Below are 26,892 nucleotides of genomic sequence, written 5' to 3'. Positions count from 1 at the left end.
ATTCACCCTCTTTCTTCGCAACAGACTATCAATGTCTTTTCATTTCATGTAGACTAACACCCAGATTCTTTAACATATAACTGATGGTGATTTGACTTTTGCTGCTTCTTTAAATTACCTTCTGGCCAGTTTCCCCTCTATATGCCACACTCCAGTCACCCTGTGCTTTCATTTCCTCAAACACAGCAATGTTTTCTCTGGCATTAAAGCTGTTTTTTTAGGCAAGTTTATGCCATTAGTTTTTCCTGGTTAAACATTTGCTTATTCTTTAAATCAAGATCAAATTTTTTTTTCCCATAGCCCTGAGTGAAATAGTGAATATTTCTCCAAGTTGAGATTGGAGGTCTAACTTGGTGTGTAACTGGAGAGGAAGTCCTGCATACCAAAATCAGGCACTAAAATTTAGACTTGAAATCTCTCTTGCATTCCTGCATTAACTAACCTAGTTTCTACCACTTCGATACCAGAGATATGGCTCTGCTAAGTTCTTGGATTCACTACCCTAACAGAGTAGTTTAAATATGACTCCTTACATGTTAGTAATAATTTAAGACTTGTATTATACCTTGTATCAAATCTGGTAGCTCAATAAAAGTATAGACTTTGGATACAAAGTATGGGTTACTTTTATAGGGTTCTTATTTTTTCAAAAGTAGGGCAGAGTGTGGTTTTTATGGCTTAGCTACTACTTTTAAGCATAGAAACAAATATAAATTGTGCTTTAACACCTGTTAAAATCCAGGCCTTGATGCTCTCTAATGTATAATAGTATCTGCATCATAAGTCACCCTCACTGAAGAAGTTAGAGTTACACACCCTGAAGGCTTAGGCAGGCAGTGCCTATAGACACAAACATATTTTTATAGTGTGTTTCCCTTCTGTATTATTTCAACTCCTACACTACTTACATATTTATAGAAGCCTCTGGTGATTCTTAATGATGATGTTCAGTTTGGTTTCTTAATAATTTCCTTGGTTCTATGCTAACATTCCTGCTGTTGATTGTTCCCTTATTTTAATTATGCCACACTCTAAGCAGTGCTTCTGGGAGTGGGTTGAAGTTTTCACTGCAGTACATTATAGGTGAAAATAATTTTTAAAATCCCACTAGAGCAATAGTTTTTGCTTTGCACTTTGGCAGGGGTGGGTGGGTGCGTAGGGCCCTATCAATACTAGAAAAATCACATTCCTTGACTGTAGGAGCTGACAGCCACTTGTAGTGAGTTAGGAAATATAAATTATGGTGGCTAAAACCTATTGAACCCGTATTACATACAGACCAGATTAAGTAATATACATTCATTCTGTCACTTAATTATCACTGTAATAAGTTATTTGCCTATATTATGTGCATATGCATATGTTATTTGCATGCCCACTTGACACACATGAAAACAGAAGCCTAGAGAATTTCAGTACCATGTCCAAAGACATCCATAAGCAAGCAATGGCAAGAAACAAGGCCTCATCTGATGCTACAGACCATGCTTTTAACCACTCTGCTATGCTTGCTTTCAACCAAAAGCAACTTTTAATCCCATTGTAAAAGTAGAAAGAACACACACACACACACACACACACCTTTTACGTGCTTATAAGCATCAAGTTTTTTTTTAAGTAGTTAGCTGTTTATTAAAGAAGAGATGGTTGCAATGCTCAAGGTTGAAGATAAGTCATATCACTTGTTGCTAAAACTTGGCTGACATAACATATTGTCAAAAGAATGTAACTTTGGAATCAAGAGTACTGATTTTAAATGCTGAGATAACTGTGTATTCTCAATGAAATTAGGCAATTTATTAAACGCTCTGAATCTCAGTTCCTACATCTATAAATGGAAATAATAATACATGCATAAGAAATTTTAAGTGCTAAATTAAGAAATGCATAGAGGATGCCTGGACACAATCTCTGTCATACATTTTTCAAATCAATATTAGTCTCCTCTAGTTTCTAGTTCTATTATTATCTACAGAATAATAAACAAATGATTCTTTTTATTTTTTTCTCTTGTAACCATCACCAAGGACCACTAGATGCCCTTAGAGATAGCTGCCAATTACTTTACTGACTCCATTTCCTACTCAGTCAACTTTCAGCTTCACTGACCACCTGCTTGTTCTTTTACTGCACTAGAAACATTCAAGTTTTAGGGGCCTTTGCACTGGCGATTCCTTTTGCCTGGTGTTATATTCCTTAGACATCTGCTTGACTTTCTCCCGCATCATCTTAAAGTCTTTGTTCAATGTCACCTCTCAATGAGGGCAATGAGGGCATTTCTGACCATCTAATTAAGAATTGTACGTATGCACCCCTCACTCTCTCTGAATGCCTCCTGGGCTTGATTCTTCTTAATGAATTATGTGATTTAATTGTTTTATTTATTGTATGTCTTCCTCATCCACTGGAATATAAACTCTATGAGAATAGAAATGTTTGTTTTGTTCGCTGGTTTATTCCCTGTATCTTGGACAATAACTCGTATGTAATAGATGTTCAATAAATATTTATTAAATTTATGAATAATTTTGAATGAATATTTTCAATAAAATTAAGAAAGATCATTATGGAATGTGTTGAACTAAACACTTCATGGCATCAGATGTAAGACTGAAGTATCAGTATAATTGGAGAAATGTTATTCAGATACAGTATGTTTGACTGTTCATTATCTCCACGTTTTTATAAAGCCATTCTTTTTGAAGACTTCATTTTCTGGAGCTGCTTTAGGTCCATGGCAAAATTAAGAGAAATGTGCAAAGATTTATCATATACGTCCTTCCCCCACATATGCATAGCCTTCTTCATTAGCAACATCCTCCTAAGAGTAGTTCATTTCTTACAATGAATGAACCTACATTAACATATCATCATCACCCAAGGTCTATAGTTTATATTAGGGTTCACTCAGTGTAGTCATTCTACAGGTTTGGACAAACGTGTAATGCCATGTATACACCACTATAGCATCCTACAGAGTGTTTCAAATGCTGTGAAAATCCTCTGGGCTATGCTTTGTCCATCCTCTGTCCCCAATCCCTGGAAACCACTGATCTTTTTATTTCCTTTATAGTTTTGCCTTTTCTAAAAACGCATATAAATGGAATTATACATTATTATATGTATTCTTTTTGGATTTGCTTCTTTCCTTTTGTAATATGCATTTAACATTCCTTTATGTTTTTAATGGCTTTGTAGCTTATTTATTTTTAGCAATGACTATTTCATTGTCTATATATACAACAGTTTATCCATTCACATAATGCTTCAAAGCATCTTGTTTGTTTCCAAGTTGTGACAGTTATGAACAAAGCTTCTGTAAAGAATCCCATGCAAGTTTTTGTGTGGTCATAGGTTTTCTACTTTTTTGGATACACATTAAAAAGCATGATTGCTAGATATTATGCTAAGAGTATGTTCAGTTTTGTAAGAAACTTCCAAAGTGGCTGCACATTTTTGCATTGCCACTGGCAATGAATGAGTTTTCCTGTTCCTCCACATCCTCACCAGCGCTTGCTGTTGTCAGTGTTGTATATTTTGGCCATTTTAATAAGTATGTAGAAGAAATTTATTGTCTTCATTTGCAATTTATTAATGACATGTGATGTTGGACATCTTTTCATATGTTCATTTGCCATCTGTATATCTTCTTTGATGAAATGTCTGATCAAGACTTTTGCCCATTTTTTAATCAGGTTGTTCATTTTCTTACTGTTGAATTTTAAGAGATTTTCATATATTTTGGATGAGACTCCTTTATCAGATACGTCTTTTGCAAATATTTTCTTCCAGTCTGGCTTGTCCTTTCATTCTCTTGACAGTGTCTTTTGCAAATCAGAAGTTTGTTTGTATTTAATTTTAATAAAGTCATTTTTTCCTTTATGAATTTTGGCTTTGTTACTATAGCTAAAAAGTTGTTGCCACACTCAAGGTTATCTAGGTTTTCTTCTGTGTTATGTTCTAGAAATTTATGATTTTGTGTTTTAATATCTAGGACTATGATTCATTTTGAGTTAATTTTTATGAAACATGTAAAGTCTGTGTCTAGATTCACTTTTTGGAAATGTAGGTTCAGTTTTGACAGCCTATTTGTTGAAAAGCCTGTCTTTGCTCCATTGTACTGCTATTGTTTCTTCGTGAAAGATTACTTGGCTACATTTATGTGGGTCTATCTTTGGGCTCTCTATTCTGTTCCATTGCTCTATTTGTTAGTTCTTAAGTCAACATCACACTGTCATGATTTCTGTAGTTTTGTAACTAATCTGGAAGTTGGATAGTGTGAGTCCTCAAACTTTGTTCTTCTCCTTTACTATTGCATTATCTTATAGGTCTTTTGCCTGTTCATACAAACTTTAGAATTAGATTGTCAATGTCCACAAAATAACTTGCTGAGCTTTAAGATCAGGCCAAATCTATAGATTAATTTGTGAAGGACTAATTAATTTGTGAAGGCGTAACCCCCCGGGTTCACGCCATTCTCCTGCCTCAGCCTCCTCAGCAGCTGGGACTACAGGCGCACATCGCCAGGCCCAGCTAAATTTTTTTTTTGTATTTTTACTAGAGACAGGGTTTCACTGTGTTAGCCAGGATGGTCTCGATCTTCTGACCTTGTGATCCACCCGCCTTGACCTCCCAAAGTGCTGGGATTACAGGCATGAGCCACCACGCTCGGCCTATTGTGTTTTTAATTTCAAGTTCCTCTTGTTTATTGCTGGTATATAGGAAAGAGTTTTTTTTTAATATATATTAACCTTGTTTCCTGCAACCTTCCTATAGTCACTTATTTCTGGGAACGTTTCCATTAATTTTTTAGGATTTTGTAAATAAACAATCATGTCATCTGCAAGCAAAACTCATTTTGCTTTCTCCTTCCATATATGTATACATGTTCTTTTCTTGTCTTGTCTTATTGCATTACCCAGAACCTCTAGTGATATGTTCTAAAGGATCAGTGAGAGAGAATATACTTATCTTATTCCTGATCTTAGTGGGAAAGCTTCTAGTTTCTCACCATTAAGTATTATATTAGCTGTAGATTTTTGGTAGATAAATATTTATCAAGTTAAGAAAATTCTCTTCTATTTCTAGTTTACCTAGGATTTTTTAACATTATTATTAAATAATAAAATTATTATTAAAAAATTATTTGTATGTTGAAACAGCCTTTCATACCTAGGATAAATCTCACTTGTACATGGTGTATAATTATTTTTATACGTAATTGGGTTTGATTTGATAAAGTATTTTTGTTGTTGTTTTTGGATTTTTATATGTATGTTCATAAGAGATTGGTCTATAGATTTCTTTTCTTGTAATATACTTGTTTAGTTTGGTATTAGAATAATTCTGGTCCATGGAAGAAGTTAGACAGTATGCCTGCTTCTTCTGTCTTATGAAAGAGATTGTAGATTGTAAAGAACTCATACCATTTATTCTTTAAATGCTTGGTAAAACTCAACAGTGAACTGATTTAAGCCTGATGATTTATATTTGGGGAAGTTATTAATTATTGATTCAGCTTATTTCAGAGATATAGGCCCATTCAAATTGTCTAATTCTTCTTGTGTGAGTTTTACCAGATTGTGTCTTTCAAGAAAACAGTCCATTTCATTTAGATGATCAAATATGTGGGCATAAGAGTTGTTCTTAATAATCCTTAATTTACACTCTCAATGTCCCTTGGATCTGTAGTGATGTCATATCCTCTCTTTCATTTCTGATATTAGTAATTATGTCCTCTATATTTTATTTTTCTTAGCCTGACTAGAGCCTTATAGATTTTATTGATCTTTTTAAGAACCAGCTGTTGGTTTTATTAATTTTCTCTATTGCTTCCCTGTTTTCAATTTCATTGATGTATGCTTAAATTTTTATCTTTTCTTGTGCTTACTTTAAATTTAATTTGTCTTTTTCTACTTCCTTAAGATTAAAACTTACATTACTGACTTTAGAACACCCTTCTTTTCTAATATACATGTTTAATGCCATATATTTTCCTTTAAGTGCTCCATTTACTGCATTCCACATATTTTGGTAAGTTGTATTTTCATTCCCATTTAGTTCCAAATATTTTCATTGTTCTTAATATTTGTTCTTTGACCTATATTTTATTTAGAGGTAATTGTTTAATATTCAAATATTTTGAAATTTTCCAGCTATTTTTCATTTAATGATTTCTAACTTAATTCCACTGTGATGTGAAAGCAGACCTGGTATGATTTTTATTTCTTTAGATTTGTTAAGTTGTGTTTTATATCACAGAATATGGTGTATCTTGATGAATGTTCCATGTAAGCTTAAGAAGAATGTATGTTCTATGTATTTCATCTGACAAAATACTCTGTAGATATTAATTATATTCAGTATGGTGCTGTTGAGCTCTAATATGTTCTTACTGATTCTCTGTCTGCTGGATACATCCACTTCTTTTAGAGAGCTATTAAAGTCTCAAACAATAATAACAAATTCATCTATTTCTTCTTGCAGTTCTACCAGTTTTTGCCTCATATAATTTGAAAATTTTATTTTCAGTGCATACATATTATTAGAACAAGAAAATAAAAATGTTTATTTTACTTTCACTTTTTCTATCTTTGATGCTCTTCCTTTCTCTAGGAAGACTCATGTTTCTGACCTATATTATTTTCCTTCTTTATAAACAAACTGACAACAAATTCTCTCAATTGTTATTTGTTCTAGAAAGTATTTCTTCTTCATGTTGAAGGATAATTTCTCAGGGTACAGAATTCTACTTGGTGTTATTTTTTCCTCACAAGATTTTAAATATTTCACTCCACTCTGTGTTTGCATGGTTTCTCAGGTGACATCAAATGTAATTTTTATCTTTGTCCTCTATGGATATGTTTTCCTCTACCTTCTTTCAGAATTTTTTTTTAAATATTATTTTCTATTTTTAAACCTTCTTTTATCTCTCTTTTTCTCAATCACCTCAGCTTTATTAACATATAATAAATAGTGTATGTATGTATAATGTACAACATGATGTTTTGATACATGAATACATGATGAAATTGTTAAATCGATCTAGTTAACATATCCATAACATCACTTACTGATATGGTTTCGCTCTGTGTCCCCATGCAGATCTCACCTTGAACTGGGTTCCTATAATCCCCAAGTGTCATGGGAGGGACGCAGTGGGAGGTAATTTAATAATGGGGCTGGTTATCCTCATGTTGTTCCTGTGATAGTGGATGAGTTCTCACAAGATCTGATGGTTTTATAAGGGACTTTCCCCCCTTTTGCTCAGCACTTCTCCTTCCTGCTGCTATGTGAAGAAGAGTGTATTTTCTTCCCCTTCTGCCATGATTGTAAGTTTTCTAAGGCCTCCTCAGCTATGTCGAACTGTAAGTCAATTAAACCTCTTTCCTTTATAAATTACCCAGTCTTGGACAGTTATTTATAGTAGTGTGAGAACAGACTAACACAATAAATTGGTACCAGGTAGTGTGGTGCTGCTGTAAAGATACTTGAAAACGTGGAAGTGACTTTGGGACTGGGTAACGGGCAGAGGTTGAAACAGTTTGGAGGGCTTAGAAGAAGACAAAAAAATGTGGGAAAGTTTGGAACTTTCTAGAGACTTGAATGGCTTTGACCAAAAAGCTAATAGTGATATGGACAATGAAGTCCAGGCTGAGGTGGTCTCCAATAGAGATGAGGAACTTGTTGGGAACTGTAATAAAGGTGACTCTTGCTATGTTACATCAAAGTGACTGGCAGCATTTTGCCTCTGGCCTGGAGATTTGTGGAACTTTGAAATTGAGAGATGATTTAGAGTATCTAGTGGAAAAAAATTCTAAGCAGTAAAGCATTCAAGAGATGACTCAGGTGCTGTTAAAAACATTCAGTTTTATGTATTCACAAAGATATGATTTGGAATTGGAACTTATGTTTAAAAGAGAATCAGCATAAAAATTCACAAAGTTTGCAGCCAGTAGAAGTTAAAGCCAGCTGCAGAAATTTGCATAAGTAATGAGGAGCCAAATGTTAATTGCCAAGACAATGGGAAAAATATCTCCAGGGCATGTCAGAGGTCTTTACGGCAGCCCCTCCTATCACAGGCCCAGAGGCCTAAGAAGATAAAATAGTTTTGCAGGCCATGCCCAGGGCCTTGCTGCTTTGCACAGTCTTGGGACTTGGTACCCTGTGTCCCAGTTGTGGCTAAGAGGCCAACGTACAGCTCAGGCCATTGCTTTAGAGGTTGCAAGCTCCAAGCTTTGGCAGCTTACACATGGTGTTGGGCCTGTGGGTGCACAGAAGTCAAGAATTAAGGTTTGGGAACCTCTGCCTAGATTTCGTAGGATGTTACGGAAATACCTAGATTCCCAGGCAGAGGTGTGCTGCTGTAGTGAAGCCCTCATGGAGAATGTCTGCCAGGGCAATGCAGAAGGGAAATGTGGGGTTGGAGCTCCCACACAGAGTCCTCATTGGGGCACTGCCTAGTGGAGCTGTGAGAAGAGGGCCACTGTCCTCCAGACCCCAGAATGGTAGATCCACTGACAGCTTGCACCATGTTTCTGGAAAAGCTGCAGATACTCAACACTAGCCCATAAAAGCAACTGGGAGGGGGGCTATACCTGAAAATCCACAGGGGCAGAGCTGCTCAAGGCCACTGGAGCCCACTTCTTGCATCAGCATGCCCCAGATGTGAGACATGGAGTCAAAAGAGATCATTTTGGAACTTTAAGGTTTAATGACTATCCTATTGTATTTCAGACTTGCCTGGGGCCTGTAGCCCCTTTATTTTGGCCAATTTCTCCCATTTGGAATGGGTGTATTTACCCAATGCCTGTACCCCTTGTATCTAGAAGGTAACTAGCTTGCTTTTGATTTTACAGGCTCATAGGCAGAAGGGACTTACCTTGTCTCAGATGAGACTTTGGACTTTGGACTTTTGGGTTAATGGTAGACTGAGTTAAGACTTTAGGGGACTGTTGGAAGGGCATGATTGTGTTATGAAATGTGAGAAGGACATGAGATTTGGGAGGGGCCAGGGGCAGAATGATATAGTTGGCTCCATGTCCCCCCCCCAAATCTCACCTTGAATTGTCATTCCCATAATCCCCATGTGTCATGGGAGGGACCTGATGGGAAGTAATTTATTCATAGATGCAGTTACCCTCATGCTGTTTTCATAATAGTGAGTGAGTTCTCATGAGATCTGATGTTTTTATAAGGGTATCTTCTCCTTTTTTCTCAGCACTTCTCTTTATTGCTGCCATGTGAAAAAGGACATGATTGTAAGTTTCCTGAGGTCTCCACATCCATGCAGAACTGTGAGTCAATTACACCTCTTTCCTTTATAAATTACACAATCTCAGGCAGTTCTTTATAGCAGCATGAGAATGGACTAATACGCATACTTATCTTTTTTGTGTGGTGAGGACATTTAAATTTTAATATTTTAGCAAGTTTATACTTAGTAATATAAAACACAAGCTCAACTATAGTCACCCTGCTGTACACTAGATCTCCAGAGATTATTCATCCTGTTTTCCTGAAACTTTGTACCCTTTAACTGGCATCTCTCCAACCACTTCCCCAACCCCCGGCCTTTGGCAACTATCACTCTACTCTCTGTTTCTGTAAATTCAACATTTGTAGATTTCATATATAAGTAAATGCAGTATTTGTATTTCTTGCCTGGCTTATCTCAATAAGCATCATGTTCTCTAGGTTTATGCATGTTGTCACAATGACAGAATTTCCTTCTTTTATAAGTCTGAATAGCAACCCATTGTGTACCATTGTGTGTGTGTGTGTGTTTGTGTGTGTGTGTGTGTGTGTGTATGTGTATGTGCACTAATTATTTTTTATTTATTTGTCAATGGACATTTAACACTTAGGTTAATTCAATATCTTGCCTATTGTGAATAATGCTACAATGAACATAAAAGTGTAGAAATCTCTTCAACGTACTGATTTTATTTCCTTTGGATATATGCCCAGATGTGGGATTGCTGTATCATACAGTAGTTCCATTTGTAATATTTTGAGAAGCTTCCATACAGTTTTCTACATTGGCTTTACTAATTTACGTCCTCACCAATGAACAGTGCAGAAAATTCCCTTTTCTCCACAGCCTTGCCAACACTTATCTTTCATTGTTTTGCTAATAGCCATTCTAACACGTATATGGTAATATCTCATTGTAGTTTTAATTTCTATTTCCTTGATGATTTGTGACATTGAGCATTGTTTCATATACCTATTGGCCATTTGGATGTCTACCTTTGAGAACTGTCTATTCAAATCCTTTGCCCTTTTTTTAATTGAATTATTTGTTTTATCTCCAATTTTCTATGTTTGAAAATACTGAACCTAGCTACAGTTTTTTTGGCATTTGTCCTGCTTGATGTTGTCTGAGTTTCCTCCACCTATGATTTTGTGTCTGACATTAATTTGAGGCAATTCTCAGTTATAGCGTTTGAAATACTTTTTCTCTTTCTTTTTCTTATCCTTCTTGTATCTCGTTGTGAATGTGTTACACCTTCTGTAGTTGTCCTGCAGTTCCTGGATATTCTAATTCATTTGTTTTCAGTCTTGTCTCGTTATTTATTTATTTATTTATTTTTATTATACTTTAAGTTTTAGGATACATGTGCACAACGTGCAGGTTTGTTACATATGTATATATGTGCCATGTTGGTGTGGTGCACCCATTCACTCGTCATTTACAGTAGGTATATCTCCTAATGCTGTCCCTCTTGTCTCATTATTATAAAGATTCATGCACGTGTATGTTCATTGCTATACTATTCACAATAGCAAAGACATGGAATCAACCTAAATGTCCTTCAATGATAGACTGGATAAAGAAAATGTGGTACATATACACCATGGAATAGTATGCAGCCATAAAAATGAATGAGATCATGTCCTTTGCAGGGACACAGGTGGAGTTAGAAGCCATTATCCTCAGCAAACTGATGCAAGAGCAGAAATCCAAACACCGCATGTTCTCACTTGTAAGTGGGAGCTGAATGATGAGAACACATGGACACACTAGGGAGAACAACACACACTAAGACTTGTCAGAGGTGGGATGGTGGAAGGGAAGGCATCAGGAAGATTAGCTAACAGATGCTGGGCTTAATACCTAGGTGATGGGATGATCTGTGCAGCAAACCATCATGGCACACATTTATCTATGTAAGAAACCTGCATGTCCTTCACATGTACCCCTGAACTTAAAATAAAAGATGAAGAAAAAAAATCCCCCCAAATCTAAAAACCAATACTACTACAACTCATAGGATATTTTAGCAAGGTCACAAAATTTAAGATCAATTTGTTTTTTAGTTATCAGCAATAAAACAATTGGAAACTTAAATTTTTAAAAAGTAGTGCCATTTACAATACCAAAAAATATAAAAGTTATTTATAAATCTGGTAAAATATTTGTAAGATCTGTACACTGCTAACTACAAAACACCATTGAATGAAATCAGTTTGGGAAATTTCTATTGATGTAATCTCAAGCTCAAATATTATTTTCTCAGCCATGTCCAGTTTACTAACAAGCTCATCAAAGACATTTTTCGTTTTGTTAGTGTTTTTGTCTGGCATTTATTTTTGGTCCTTTCTTAGTATTTCCATCTCTCTGCTCACAATACCTCTCTGTTCCTGCATGTTGTCTCCTTTACATATTAGGCCCTTAGCATATTAATCATTGTTGCTTTAATTCCTAGTCTGATATTCCAACATTCCTGTCATGTCTGCTTCTAATGCTTTCTCTGTTTGTTCCAAGGTATACCTTTCAATATGTCTTGTAATTTTCCTTAATAGCTTGACAGGATGTACTGGGTAAAAAGAACTGCTGTAAATAGGCATTTAGTCATGTGGTTGCAAGGTGTTGAGGGAAGGGAAGAGTTCTGAAGTCCTATGACTAGGTCTTAGTGAACCTATGCCTCTGGACTGTGAAATTCACAAGTATTTCTCAGTCCTCCCAACCTCTTAGGTGGGACAACATGATGAGAGTGGACTAGAGTTGGGTATTCGTTTTCCTCTGGTCAGTTAGGCTCTGATAAAATCCTGGCATGATAGGCTTTGGTTAAATAGTTTGTCCTGAGAGCCAGCCTTGTTAAGAAGAAAAGAGTGCTCTGGCGTATTTCAAAATGTGTCCTTTCCTCTCCAGCTGCCAGAAGCACGTGGAGATTTTCTTCTGATATTTGCTATGAGAACCTGGTCAAGCTCCAGAGGGTAAAATTTACAAAAGTCTGGAGGGCTGCTAAGACTGAGTCCCTATGGAGTTTTTAACTCTCTGACTTGTCCACACTGAGCCTCCAGCAATTTGTTCAGGTTTTTCTACCTCATTTCTAGTTCTCATGGTGGTTTCTTTAGTCACTTTGTACAATGGTATTTTCTTACGACTGAGACCTCTTAGCACACTAAGAAGGCCCTAATATGCTACATAAAGAAATAAAAAGAAATAAAGAGTAGATGTGGATGTGTTCATGTCAGCCTAACATGAAGTTTCTCTGAAACAGAACATCCAAGGAGGTGAAATTTAATAGGCTTCCCAAAGCTATAACCAGTATCCAGAACATGCCAAGATGAGACAAGCAGAAGGCAGATGACTAGACATGGGGAGAAATTTGAGAAAAAAAAAAAAAAAAAAAAAAAAAGCCTTGCCCACAGGTTTGTATTCATGCAAAGCTTTAATACTCTTGTCATCAACAGCATAGAGGGATGCAAGTAAATACACAGGATACTATAGGGATATTTGCATCTTTATATGAACAATTTTTTAATGATGTCACATAGAAATGTTAACTAATTTTATTTTTAATTAGTTGTAGGGTGTAGAAGAATTAAAAATGGTTATATTTAGAACTCATTTAATTAAAATGGATAAACTATATTTCGAGTGCATAATATAGATAATCTCACTAAGTTCCACTCCTGGCTATACTGCTGATTTAATTAATAGTAAGCATTGCGGCATATTAATAAAAAGCAAAAGCAAAAACAAAAAAAAAAACACCTAACCTTTCCTTTTTTCCTTGATTGTAATTGCGAGCCATTCTGGGTTCCGGATAAGTGGGTAGTTGATATTAAAGGCAGGAAATGTTTATTATTCAATGCAGTAGGCTGCAGTGACATTTCTTATCATTTCAGCATAACTGTGCCAGAGGGTCTGTAAATAGTCTTTGCCAAAGGCAATTTTACACATTCATAATATTCTTTGATGTCTGGGCTGGGCCTGGCTGACATAGCCCTGGAGGCTATCTTTCTGCTTCTCTGGCAGGCTGATAAACCAGTGTAAGGGATTATGGAGAAACAAAACAAACCCACAGAATTGAATTTAGTAATTTCTGAATTAAATTCACCTTAAGAAAGCCAATGTCTAGCAAGCTGTGGCCATTTAATAAGTGGTTATTGAGTGAGGGGAGGACAAATCATATCAAGGTTATGGGGCATAAATAATCTGAAACAGGAAATTTTACGTTCAGGAAGCATTCTGTGCAGTTGGGACTTCTTACTTCTGCACAGGAAAGAAGAGATGGGAAACGTGAAGTTCTCATTCTCAGAAATATGAATAACATTTAATAATGCATTGACATTTATTGAACTCTTATTCTATTCACTGGTGAAAGCACGTTTTGTGTATTTAATCTTTTAATCACAGCATCAGATCTCTAAGATAGGTGAGAAAACTGAGTCACAGACCGATTAACCAAGAGTGTGCAGCTAGTTAAGTGGTGGAACATTAAAAACAAAAACAAAACCAATGAACACATTTCCTATCATTTATCAATAACTATCCATAAAATTATCCTGTGCTTTTCTTCCTAAAATATTTACTTTTCTGAAATTATCATATTAATATATTTAAATTTTTATTTCTTCTTATATTTATTACTTGTTTCTGTCTAGTAAAATATAAATTTCATGACAAAAGGACTTTGTCTTATTTTCTGCTTTGTCCACCACACCAGGACTACTCCCTGGCACAGAATAGGCAGTTGTTAAATGTTTATTGAATCCATTATTTAAAGACATAGCAATTTGTCTCAGAAAGTGTTCTTAGATGCAAAATGGGGCTCTGTCTTATGCTAATCATAAAATGGTGACAGATCCCATTTAATTTCCCAAATAGTGTCAAGATGTGAAACCTATATTGTACTCCAAATCAATGCCAGTGTTTTGATTTTCTTACTTTCAGAACAATCCTGGGTAGGAAAAGCAGCTTGCAGGCAGGTTTTCTAACATTCTGGCAGCGTGGAATGGTGGCAGAAAAGGGACTTTGAAGACAGCTATGGGTTTGATTGCCAGCTCAATCATTTCTTTGCATCGTGACTTTGGACAGGTTATGTTACAGTGTATCTTTCAGTTCTCATTTTGTGTGTGTGTGTCATGGGAACTTCAGAAATTTTACCTTTCCCATTCTGGCAAACTAACCAAGAAGATGGTGATTTACAGTCTTATCTTCTAAAAAATATCTTATATCCCCCCACCGTGTTAATATTTGAAAGCTCCCCTTTTATTGTATGACTTCCATACTGAGATATTTAGTTTTGTATTTCATTTTCAGTGGCATTCAGTCTCTTCAATCTGGCATCCAATTCATTCTGACATTTTATGCCTCTTAATCTATTCAAACTTGCCTCCCTCTGCTTTAGGGGAAACACTCTTCTGCCTGTTTTATCCATAGCATGCACAAGCTTCTGTCTTCGGCAACAACCATCTTATTCCCACTTGCCTGTTTTACCTAACACTGCTCTCAAAGATACAACCTATATCCAGGCCCTTTATCCCTGTTGATTCCCTTAATATTCATTAGCATCTTCTCTATGAGTTTGTGGTACTAATTTTCTTTTCCCCAGTTACCAGTTTATAATGTTCTGCCTGCCTTTAAGTTAGTAGTGTTGCATGGATTCAATTTCCCTCTTGAACAAAATGTTCTGTACAAGTTGGGCATTTTTTCCCATTAGCTCTGTTCCAGTATTAGGCAGTCAACAGGTTATAGGTAAATAATACACTAATAGCTACCTATACTGCCTCATGCAATTCATTGTTTTTAAATAAAAAACAATTATTCATTGTTAGTGTGAAAGATGCTGTGATGTGGTATCTGGATCCTTATTCAGGAATGATGAACTTCTTCCCTCAGCTGCTGAGAATGCAGTGGACAAAGTGCTATGCCCTACTGTCCCATTTCAGAAAATGCCTCTATTGAAGAGAGCCACCTTGCTCAAGATTGGGTTCCCCTTCCTGAGTTGCCAGCATCCGTGACTAGTTTATAGGGCAGCATTAAAGTCCGGCACCTTTGCTCCACTCAGAACTCAGAAGCGTCATGCATTCTTCCAAGTCTTTTGTAGAGTTACTTATGACCTCCATTAAGACTTCCTGGCAGCCCAAGTTCTCCCTCTGTCCAACCCTGCTTCTTTCTTTTCTCTTCTGCAGATATGAATCCCAAGACCGTGCTCTACAAAACCTCCTACACTCTAAACTCCTCAGTCTGAATCTCAGAGAGTCCAACTGCTGACATTCACTAATCACACATTTTTTTTCTCCACTCATGAGGGGAGCAGAGGATATACATGAAATGAGAGGAGAGACAATCAAAAGTGACAACCAGCAGGACTTAGTGAACCTTATATTTGCACATCACGAAAAGTTTTTGTTGGTTTTGTTTTGCTTGTTTGTTGGATTGTCTTTGTCTAAAAGGGTATTGCTCTCCTTTTTTATTCTCATTATCCTTATAAATATAAATCATAGTTGTCTTTAAAAATTACAGATAGAAATACATGAAAGGAAATTAAAACGAGAATTGTAGTTGAATTGCATAGTTGGAATGAATGAAATGAGGAGACATTGCTAGGCCTTTCCTTATTACAAAAACCAATCTCCAGCCTCAAGGAGAGCTGATCATGTGATTTATTTTATTTAAGAATGAGTGTGGAATGTGTCAGAATGGCCTAAAAATGCTCTCTTATGTGTTTTTATAACCACATATTTGAACACTCAAAATTTCCTGAAGTAGAAGGAGTGTTATTGCCTTTATCTGAGACTTAAATCTGTAGTTTTAAAAAAAAGTACTCCAGTAGCATGCATCATTATATATTTGCCCTTTCTGTGAAATCAGCTGTATGCAGTCACTTTAGCAGCACTGACTAATTGGTTCAGTTCTGCCAATAAATGTATTGCCAATGATGCCGCTCTTTAGTTTTATAAACATTCAAAAATATTCCCTCAAATTGGCTAGCTCCCTAGCAACCATTTTTTGTAAAGATGAACACCTTCAGTGGTGAGAACAAGCATTTCAACCCCTCAAAAATAACAGCACAGATTTTTTTTTCTACTCACCCTCTGCAATGAATATTAAGCCTCTTTTTTCTTGAAAAGAAAGAACAAATCAAGCAGAGATTTTTCACACTCAACTTCATGTTAGTGGCAACGGTGAGTCAAAAAGTGCCTTTAGGGGCAGCCTTGATGCTTGTTTTTTTTTTTTTTTTTTTTTTCTGAGGAAAAACTGCATTAGACCAAAAAATACCCCTGAGATTTAATTATCTTTTTATATTATTTTTTACTACAAAGCCACTTACTCTTTTATTGTGTTGCTCTGTTGGAAAAAAAAATCTTTAGTAGATGTATTTTTTTTAATGGTAAAAGCAGTATAACTTCAAACAGAGTGCTCTGCCTTTCTTGTCTCTGACAAAAGGGGCTGAGTGCTTTGAATAGTTTCAAGGTGACATGAAGGTTTGGGACCAAAATTGGCATAGAAAAGGTCCAGGATAAGGAATGTGGGGTATCACCCCTTCAGATGTCATGTACTCTTGCCTATAGGCCTATTTTGGTTGCTGGTAACATAAAATGTATGCATTTAGGTTATTCAAAAGAGTGCTCTTCCATAAAAGTACAAGTTGTTTTCACAAACCTCAGATAGGAGAAGGATAAAAATGAACATCCAGAATAGGCTGATGCCAAGGACTCTGAAATGATAGGAAGCCAAGGAAGACCTCTTCTTAATCTCTCATCTGTCTTTGTCTTTGCACATCTGTTGTTGCTTTAATTTTTCTTTGTCTTACCAGGTTACTTTTTCCCTTTCTTCATGATGGGGCGTGACTACCAGCCAAAATAGAGTTATGGTGTGAATGTTTATGGCCCTCCAAAATTCTTATTTTGAAATTCTAGGTCAGGCACGGTGGCTCACGCCTATAATCCTACCACTTTGGGAGGCTGAGGTGGGCGGATCAGCTGAGGTCAGGAGTTCGAGACCAGCCTGGCCAACATGACGAAACCCCATCTCTACAAAAAATACAGAAATTAGCTGGGTGTGGTGGCAGGTGCCTATAATCCCAGCTACTCAGGAGGCTGAGGCAGGAGAATCACTTGAACCCGGGAGGCAGAGGCTGCAGTGAGCCAAGATCGTGCCGTTGTACTCTAGCCTAGGTGACAAGAACAAAAATCCATCTCAAAAAGAAAAAGAAAAATAAAAATTCTAACTCCCAAGGTGATACTATTAGGAGGCGGGGGCCTTTGACAAGTGATTAGGTCTCAAGGGCATAGCTCTGAAGACTTGGATTAGTGTTCCTACAGAAAAGTGCCCAGAGAACTGCCTTGACCCTACCACCATGTGAGGACACAGAAAGTGCCATCTGGGAAGGAGAAAGGGCCCCTCATTAGACACAAATTAATCTTAGACTTCCTACACTCCATAATTGTGAGAAATAAACTTTGGCTATTTAAAGTCACCCAGTTTATAGTATTTTGTTATAGTGGCCCAGACAAAGATAAGTAGGCTTATAACTTTAGCGCTCAGCCAGACTGACACTCTTATGTTTTCTCAATTTTAAATTTCCAGGAAAGACTTGTGATTAATCTATTCTGGAGTGTCTATTGTCTTTCGATTGTCTATAAATTGTGTCCAGGAGTGAAAGTTAAGCTGAAAAATGATGACAATTCCCATTTCAATTATGTGGCTAAGGCGAAGAAGAAAAATAAAGAAAAATAATCAGGACAATTATCTGAAAAGTAGGTGCTGGAAAGCAGGGAGTTAGAGACAAAGCAATAAGTACCCGTATGACAAATTGTGTCATGATTGTGAACTAATAGTCTGAAAAACAAGAAGCGCATAGGAAGTAATATTTTAGGCATAAGACTCAATAGTTAATTTCTTATGTCAAGCAATATATGCTTGAATGTGGCATTAGTCTATCTGGAAGAATATCCGGAGACTTATTTAATGTTAATTAATTAATTTCATCTTTCCTCTGTTTATTCATTCATTCACCCATTCATCTGTTCATTCATTCTGAAAGTCTTATGTATTTATTTATGTATTTATGTATGTATTTATTTATTTATTTATTTATTTATTTATTTATTTATTTATGGGATACAGAATTAGAAGCAGATAGGAGCATGGAAGCAAGAAATGTATCCAGGGTAAATCTCAAGGTTAGTGAATGATGTGGGCAGAGTATGCTAATTGCTAACACATAAATACACACACACACACACACACACACACACACACACACACACACAGAGACACTCTCTACAATGGTTTAAAATAAAAATCTCTTTATTCTTATCTATTAGAATCCTATTTAGATTGGGCATAGGAAGGAGTTTGGTTTCACACAGATACTGAATAACTTGGGCTTTTTCTATCAAATGATTCCTGCCATTCCTTAGACCCCAGTGCCATTCCTTACACCCCAGAGTGTTTTGCGGGATCCTCTGCATCTGGCCATCTGATGAATGATGAAAGAGAATGAAAGGATCTCCTGACAACTTTTAAAGCCAGGGTCTAAGATGGCATGCTTCACTTCTTCCCACATTCCATGGCTCAGTACTCTGTAACATAGAAGCACCTAAGCTTGCCTGGAGGTTACGGTATAAAACCTATGCAGACACTCACTCAGAAAGTAAAAAAGAGGAGTGCCGCCCTCAGACCCTGAGTGAGAGAAGCCCCTGCTGTGGGCCTATTCTTTTAGACAGATACTTTCAGTCTTTCTTTCAGATATACCATCCCCAACAAGAAATGAGAATATAAGGTTAAAGTCCAGGGATGCCTTGGATACTGAAATTTACTGGAAAAAAAAAAAAAAAAAAATGCTATTGTGATTATTTCCAGGTGCAGCTTGGTGCTCGTCCATAGGTTCATCTTCCAAAAAGGTCGAAGGTACCTCCTGTATATGAATTGCTCAGTCCCAAAGGTGTCCAAAGGCTGGATGTTTGTGAATAATTGGCACAAAACTTGCTTGAGCAGGCTGGATGTGCATGATGTAATTCATAGCGCAAGATGGAGCTGGAAGTGGAGTGAGAAGAGAAAGGCCACACTAGAGGAGTAGGGGCCTGGACTCAGGTCTTCCCCTGCTGCCATTTTCTAGTATGAACTCCAAGGAGCCTAAGCAATCTAAATTTAAATGTGTTTTTCCATGTTGCTATGAATGTATTGGACAATGTGGAAAGCTGGAATATATTTCATTTAGCAGGTTACCAGCTTGATTCACTATTCTTAAACACTGAGATGTGTTGTAGGCGGCCATCCACGGGTACCCTTGGCCTGGGCCCCCAAAATATTGGAGAAGCTCCTTGTGTTGAGCTCTAGCAGTGTCTGCCACAGTGGACAACCAGTGTGATTTTATGCTTCACCTTGCATGCTTCTAAGAGGAAGGGGAAACTTAAAATAGCTACCTTCTATTAGACAAAATACAAATTTAATTGCTATGTTTCATCAAGCCTGATTCAACTGACCATTTTGGCTTATGTTACCCTAAGCGCTAATAAACTCTAAAAAGCAACTAATTAAAAACCTCTGGTTTAATTTAATAATAAATACCTTTTTTGAACTCTTAGTACATGCTGGACACTATGCTAACAAATTACACTGTTCTATTTAATTTTAACAACTATATTAAGTGTTACTCCCATTTGACACATCAGAAAACATAAGCTGAGGAAAGAAGTGGCAAATCTAGAATTGGTATGTAGGGTTATCGTAATCAAAAGTTTGCATTCTTTTAAACAATGGTGCTCCACTGTCTTAGGCTGGAATGTATCTCAGATAGCAGGAAGTCCAATGCTCTTTGTGTCCATTTTGAGTCCTGAATTATCTCTTTTATAGTCCTGCGTGACAAGTGGTTGACCTGCCTATGTACGGACACTTCCAGTGACAAGCTCTTTATATATTCATATATTAGGAAAATTAGCATATTATAGCAGCAATTTTTAAGTTATGAAATGTGATGCATTTATGTATATGTATCTTATCTGGATTATTTGCTAAATATCTGGATAGCCAGTGTTACCGGGTCGTGCACTTGAAAATCAAGTTGGGAAAAATAACTGTATTCAAAAGTTAAAGATTCCAATTTGCTGAGTTGTCTGTGTTTATTCTTCTTTTTTGTGTGAAGATGAAGGGATTAGGGAAATAGTTGAGAAAAGGGTGGCGATTTATTTTTTTTCTGACATGTGGCCTCAAACCCATCCTCCATGGAGATGTGTGTGTGTGTGTGTGTGTGTGTGTGTGTGTGTGTGTGTGTCTGCATACTACAATAAATAGCAGAATCCTCTAATTTATTATCCAGATTGAAAAACACCTGAGAATAAAAGTGGTTTTTATTGATAATTATGCATAAACTGAAATAGTCCCAGACAAATGGGGACCATATTCAACTTTGTCACAAATAAAAACAAATATATATATTTTTGACCAGAATGCATATTTATATGACATTCAAAGAAAGAAAGAATATACCGACAGAACACAGATTAGTAACTGCCAGAGGCTGAAGATGAATGAGGGGAGAACAAGGGAATTTTTGAAGATGATGAACTTGTTCTATACCTTGATCATGATGTCGGCTACATGACTGTATGTACTTGTCAGAGCTCCCAGAACCTTGCACCAAAAAGTGGATTTTACTTTATGAAAATTATACCTCGTTTTTTTTAAGTAGTGAGGCTAGGAGACCCTGGTGGAAACCTGAATTTAGAAGGAGTCATTTCTTTTGACTTTTGATTATAAAGAAAACATAAAAGAAGCACCTACCCTCTTAAGAAAGGACAAGAAACAGAAACAACAGAAACCAGCCATTAGATTCACTTCATGACAAACTTAAAGAAATGGTACCAATCTAGAATCATCCCAAATGAATAAAATCTAAAAAAATAGGGTCGTTTTCTTCCCCTATTCGCACACCTCGCATAGCAGCTAGGGAACACTTTGGACTAGAGAATCACTGGTGTTCTGCTTGGAGAAGCAGCAGAAATGAGGAAGTGCTCAGCAAGGAGTGACTTAGGTTCTGACAGAAGGTTAGTCCCTTGTAGGTGAATGCAGGAAACCCGGGACTAAATGGCAGGGGAAGTAGTGCTCAATAAACTACTCTGACAAAGAAGATTTGTTCATGAAAACACTTGAGACATCCCCTGAGTAATATCATGAGTATTTGGGGAAATTGTTTTTACAGATGACTAAATAAATGGGAACAAGAGATACGTAAACATGGGTTATTCATATTAATGTGACTGCATTGATACCATAGATGGTTGAGGTCAGCAAAGCTTGAGCTACGTAAATCTTAAAGTGTACCATCTAGGTGCATCTTAATTGCCTTGTAGGACATCTTCTTGACAGTTCATGTGATTTTCATGTTGGCAATATCACTACTCCCTAGGTCCTTAAAAAATACATGCATTTAATTAACATTAGCTCAATTTTGGTCTATGATGGCTTTATTCTACATCTTGTCCTAATTTTCCATTTCAAAAGATGTATGTATTTAATTTTCCCAGGGTAAACTGAGATCTCTGTGACCCATTATACTTCTAAAATTCAAGGATCCTAAAATTAAATTTGTATTTAAAAGCCCTAATGAACTTGGCACAATTATTGATATTAATAGAAGGCAATGCACATAGCATTCAGAAGGGCCTCCAATCTTGGCTCTATCCCTAACTGTGGGAGCTTAAATACCATTGCCACATGTGTGAAAAAGGAGAGAATTCATAGCACTTTCTCATAGGTATAGTGTTGCTGTGGGGAAAAATGTAGAGACAAAATGAGAAATCTCTTTGTAGCTCTTTACCAGCATGTAACAGAGTAAGCATTCGTTAAATGTCAACTGTATGGCGCAAGGCCTGAAATAAAGTTTCGATGTTACATGCTGCCTTGACATCTGAAACTAAGAGTCTCTCAAATGGCCTAACTGCAAGCTCTTCTCCTTAACTCTATTCCTGCAGATAAGGTTCCCTAACCAATCAACTTTCTTTATCACAGAGACGATGTGTAGTCTCTTTATCAACATAGATCATGTATAGACCATGTACAGTGGCTGCTTATCACTGAGTAGTGGGTTTTTCACTGCAGAATGATTCAAATAAGTCACTCACATCCTCTCATGGGAAGCAGGGGTCATCTCATCCCCTTGTTACTATAAAGTTTGCCTCCCACAGCCCCTGATTGTTCTCTGTGTTCCTGAGTGTAACTCCCTGTGTGTGGCCTTGTATGGCATATGGTGTCCAGCTTTCCTGGGCTATGAGTTTAAAAGACTAATAAACTATTCTCGATCTCATCAGTGTTGGGAGTCAGGTGGACAGCCCTCTCTCTAACAGGGCGAAAAGGAGGCAATCAAACAAGCTGTTTCTGAAGACAACTGCAAGTGGTAGTAATGTTAAGTAATAATACGATTCCTAGCTATGTGCCTACTCTAAAACCTGAATTGAGAAAAATAAGTACCCATAGAGACTGTAGCACTGAGACTGATTAGTAAAATTTCTTTTGTTTTTATGCCTCAAAACGTCACAATGCTATGATTTTTATTCCCTCCTACCCAGGAGATTAACAAAACACTGTGGTTTGCAGAAAACTATTTATAGCATAGAAACAAATGAGCAGATTGACTGAAGGAATTTTTACAGTCCTGAAGACTGTTGGGGGGAGCCTGACATAGAACTGTAGACCTCTCCCTAAATCTTGAAGACTTAGGGGTATATGTGGGAAAATGAGTATGTATATATAAGATACGTAGGGATTTTTGCACATTTACTACTTAAACTAAGCTCATGAGCTACTGAGTGGAGATTGAAACGGCAATAGTTGAAGAAGTCAAGGAAAGTGAGAGAGATAGTTGTTCTCCAATGACTACATACATAACCCACATATTACCAGGCCACACCTGCTACGAATGCTAATGATGCTGTACAATAAAACACATAAATCATGACATGACCCCTATTTGATTAACTCAGGTTAATGACATGACCCCTATTTGATTAACTGAAGTCCACCAAAAATCCCCAATGAATTGCCTTAAGGGTCTCCTGGGGGAATCCTCTATTATGTTACTCTTGCCTGATATCATTGCCTAACTTTGCTTGGCCATTTTGTATCTCATTGCTACCACTACTACTGTTGTTATCTATTATCTCATTTATGTTCATTCCCAAGTTGCTAATCTCTGATGTTTCCAACTTTTAATTGCGTGATGCTGAAGTAACCTACGTTCGCTGCAGTTTTCCTCTTATGGAGTCACGCTAACTACTGCAGAAAACTAAGGGTTTCTTTCCTCTTTCTCACCTTTTGCTTATGCCCATTATACAAACAGCACTTTCGCCTTCTCTTTCAGACCCCGCTGACCACAGGCCTGGTTCACTGCCCCTTGCCCTTTACTGTTTCTTCCTTTTAGGCAAGAATTGACCATCGCTCTCTTCTCACATTGACAAAAGCATCCTAAGCCAACCAAATTCTAAATGTCTATCCATTCATTTTACTAGATATACACAGATAGGTCTGAAACTTCAATTAGTTTCAGGCTAGGATCTCTAATATGTAAGATCTGAGAAGTGGCAGAGAGCTCTGCAGCCGGTGTGTTCATTCCCCCACTCATTCAGGGTCTCAGTAAACATATACTGAGTCTCTTCTTTGTAAGAAGCACTGTGTTAGACATTGGATCATGGTGGCAAAAAAATAAAAATTAAAATTAAAAAAAACAGGCCTGATACTTATCTATATGTGATTTGCAGTCTAGGGCAGTTGTTTTGTGAATAGCTGCATCATGATAAGGTAAAGCATTTGTCAAAAATGTAGAAATCTGGACCCACATTTGCTTACTGAATCGAAATCTCTCTAGCAGCACTTAGTGGGAAAGTTGGGTTCTTTTATTGAGGAAAAAAGGCTAAGTTAGAAAGCACCAGAGTTAGAATCATTACTGAAATGCTTGGACAGAAAAGCCAATTCAATGAGAGTCGACAGCAGACATGGGGGTGGTACTTGAAGAGGAGATTTGAATCAGCCAAGCATGTAAAGTCATAGACAGCTAATGGATGGGGCAGTTCCAGAATTTCCCAAAAGCCCTTTCAGAGATATGGTCTGATCTCAAAGTGGAGCAGGTCTTGTAGACTGGGCTGTTTTATTCCAATTACACAGTACCTGCATCTTAAGGAAAGGGCAGTGGGAAGGTGACTTGAGATCAGATCTGTCAAAGCACAGAGCACCAGTCCATTGATGGCTGCAGTCACTCTAATAGTCCCTCTAAGGTAGGAAGTCTACTGCTTTCTGATTAGGCCGTCGGAAGGAGTAGGGGCCCTAAGGAATGTACTCTAAGAGCCATGACTGATGCTTCTCCCTTCACCAGCTTGAAGCCCTGGTGCCTCTCAGGCAAGACGCCTGACTGATTTTTCTATCATTCTTTAATAGTTAATTCCCACCTTGCCAGTTAAAAGATTTCAGCAACTCCCTTAGGCCAGATAAATCCAAGTAAGTTTAAATTAGATGCCTCAGCAACATCAGTCATTCAAAAAGCTTCCAGAGAGAGCAAGCCCCACCATCTCCCTCACTATAGACAGAGGGTCTTGAATGAAACCCCTTACTGGGCTTTCTCCATGGCTCCGGGGCAGAATTGGATACATTTGTATTACACCTCCGTTGGACTTTTTTTTTTTTACAGGCCTTAGGAAGGATACATGTTACATTTACATGAAACCTCAACATTTCTCAACACTGCTGTAAAGTTCTGTTTTTAGCAGAATGCTGTTAACAATGCAAAAATCTGATCACTTTCCTCCTGGGCTAAAACACATTCAAGGACTCTCACCACCTACTGAATTGTGCCTTGCCTTCTTTTGCTACAGTACAGTCTACTACAATCTAGCCAGACACATGTTTTTCAGTATCGCCTCCACTTCATACCCCAAGCACTTTAATACTTTCAGCCAAACGGTTCCTTGTATTCTTTTCCAGGACAGACTTTCCTGAATATTGATCCATACCTGGGCTCACATCTGCCTTTCTATGGAGAATGCCTTCTGTGCTTCCAACTGTGCTTACTGAAATGTTGTCCATCCTTCAGAACTCTTCAAATACTACCTTCTCAATTATGCTTTTTCACACCAAATATGGATAAAATATCTCCAGTCTATAAAGTCTCATAAGACCCTGCACTTCCATTATCTAACCATAGGTATAGAAAATTTCAATTTGGCAAAGCCTTCCAGCTTGGTCCTAATAATAGTCATCTTGTATTGGTCATCTATGTCTGAATCAACGTCTGATGCATAAAAGCTTCTCAGTAATACACATCACATTTTATTGAATATGATTTATTTTCACTTCTCTCTTTTTGTGATCCTCATCCCCTTTTTTGCCTCTTTTGTCTGTTTTACATGCTGATAATCAAGCCCCCATTGGGGGTCAGTAAACAATGTCATCTTCGAACAAATTCCAAACCTTACTGTAAACTTCAGGTGAATAAAGTGTGCTTTTAGCTTGTGGGATTAAAGAATGTTTGTAAAGCACTTTGGAAAGGAAAAATCTCCCTGAACATATTAATTGCTATTATTAATGATTTACTTTCATGGAAAATGTCTTAGAGAACTAACGGCAACCAGAGATCCTGTGTGGCACACTCGGAAACTTGGAAAGTAGAAACTGGTATTGAAATTTTTAAATGGCAAAGTCTCCTTTGGTTCTGAGGTTATCCCTAAGGATAATGATTTTTCCTTGTAGAACTCTGGCCAAAGTGGCAGTGACATCTGCTTTGGGGAAGAGAAACAAATTATATTAAAAAGTTCGTATCTCGGTTTAATTTTGGCTTGCTTTCAAAAATATTAGAGCAATTAATTTAGATTTATGTTAGTGTTTTTTCTTTTTCCATGCTTACCTCCTTTTCATGCTTAATGAACATTTTTTTCTTTCTAAAGCCAATTAAAAAATTCACGATCATAAATGTATGATGATAAAAATCTTACCTCTATCTTGAGAACTTTTTGTAGCTTGCCTCAGGAGGACATTTTTTGAAACTGTGCAGCTAATGTAAATTTGCAAAATGCATAGCCTCTTGTGTCTTCCAGTGGAATCAGTGCTGAAACCGGGGTTGAAGGCTCTTATTTATCTCTGCGAAGGCAGTTAATCAGTAGGCATCCAGATAAAAGAAATGTGTCTGAAGGAAATCATGAAAACGTGCTTTCAAGTCCTTCAATATTTCTAACTCAAGCAATTTAAGCTGTTGAAAACACAACAGTAATCTTTCTTAAAATATGATAATTCCTGCCAGCATCTATTTCCCAGAAACTTAAGAGCATAAACAAATGAAAACATATTACTTTGAAGACAACCAGAATCCAAAACATAGAATTATAATAAAATTCCATTTTATTACTTTTCTAAATACACACGGTTGTATGTATTGCTTGTATAGAAAATATTTCTGATTCGAGATTCCAAGGGACCTGACAAATAAATAGATAACAGTCACCTATAATTAGGGCATTTTTAGGTAGCAGGTGTCTCCTAAATGCTAGATAATTTTTTATCCTTTCAAGCAGAAATTTTTAAGATAATATCAATTATTATAGTGTATATTGTATTAAAGTGCAAAAGTAAACTTCAGACCAGGGCCAATCCAATCAAATCCATTT

The 26,892-nt window shown here is 36.8% G+C and overlaps 1 long non-coding RNA gene across 1 annotated transcript in view; it reads left to right on the top strand.

Annotated features, from left to right (window-relative positions):
• LINC02745 (long intergenic non-protein coding RNA 2745) overlaps positions 1-26,892 on the top strand; it is an 83,737-nt gene that overhangs the window by 50,176 nt on the left and 6,669 nt on the right. Inside the window, exon 8 of the long non-coding RNA NR_135065.1 lies at positions 9,221-9,296. This is a non-coding gene — a long non-coding RNA (long intergenic non-protein coding RNA 2745). The remainder of the gene's footprint in view (positions 1-9,220; positions 9,297-26,892) is intronic.

Source organism: Homo sapiens, chromosome 11 (genome assembly GCF_000001405.40).
Source record: "Homo sapiens chromosome 11, GRCh38.p14 Primary Assembly".
Lineage (NCBI taxonomy): Eukaryota > Metazoa > Chordata > Mammalia > Primates > Hominidae > Homo > Homo sapiens.
Note: the sequence above shows the minus strand (reverse complement) of the source record. Positions and strands in the feature narration are given on the sequence as shown.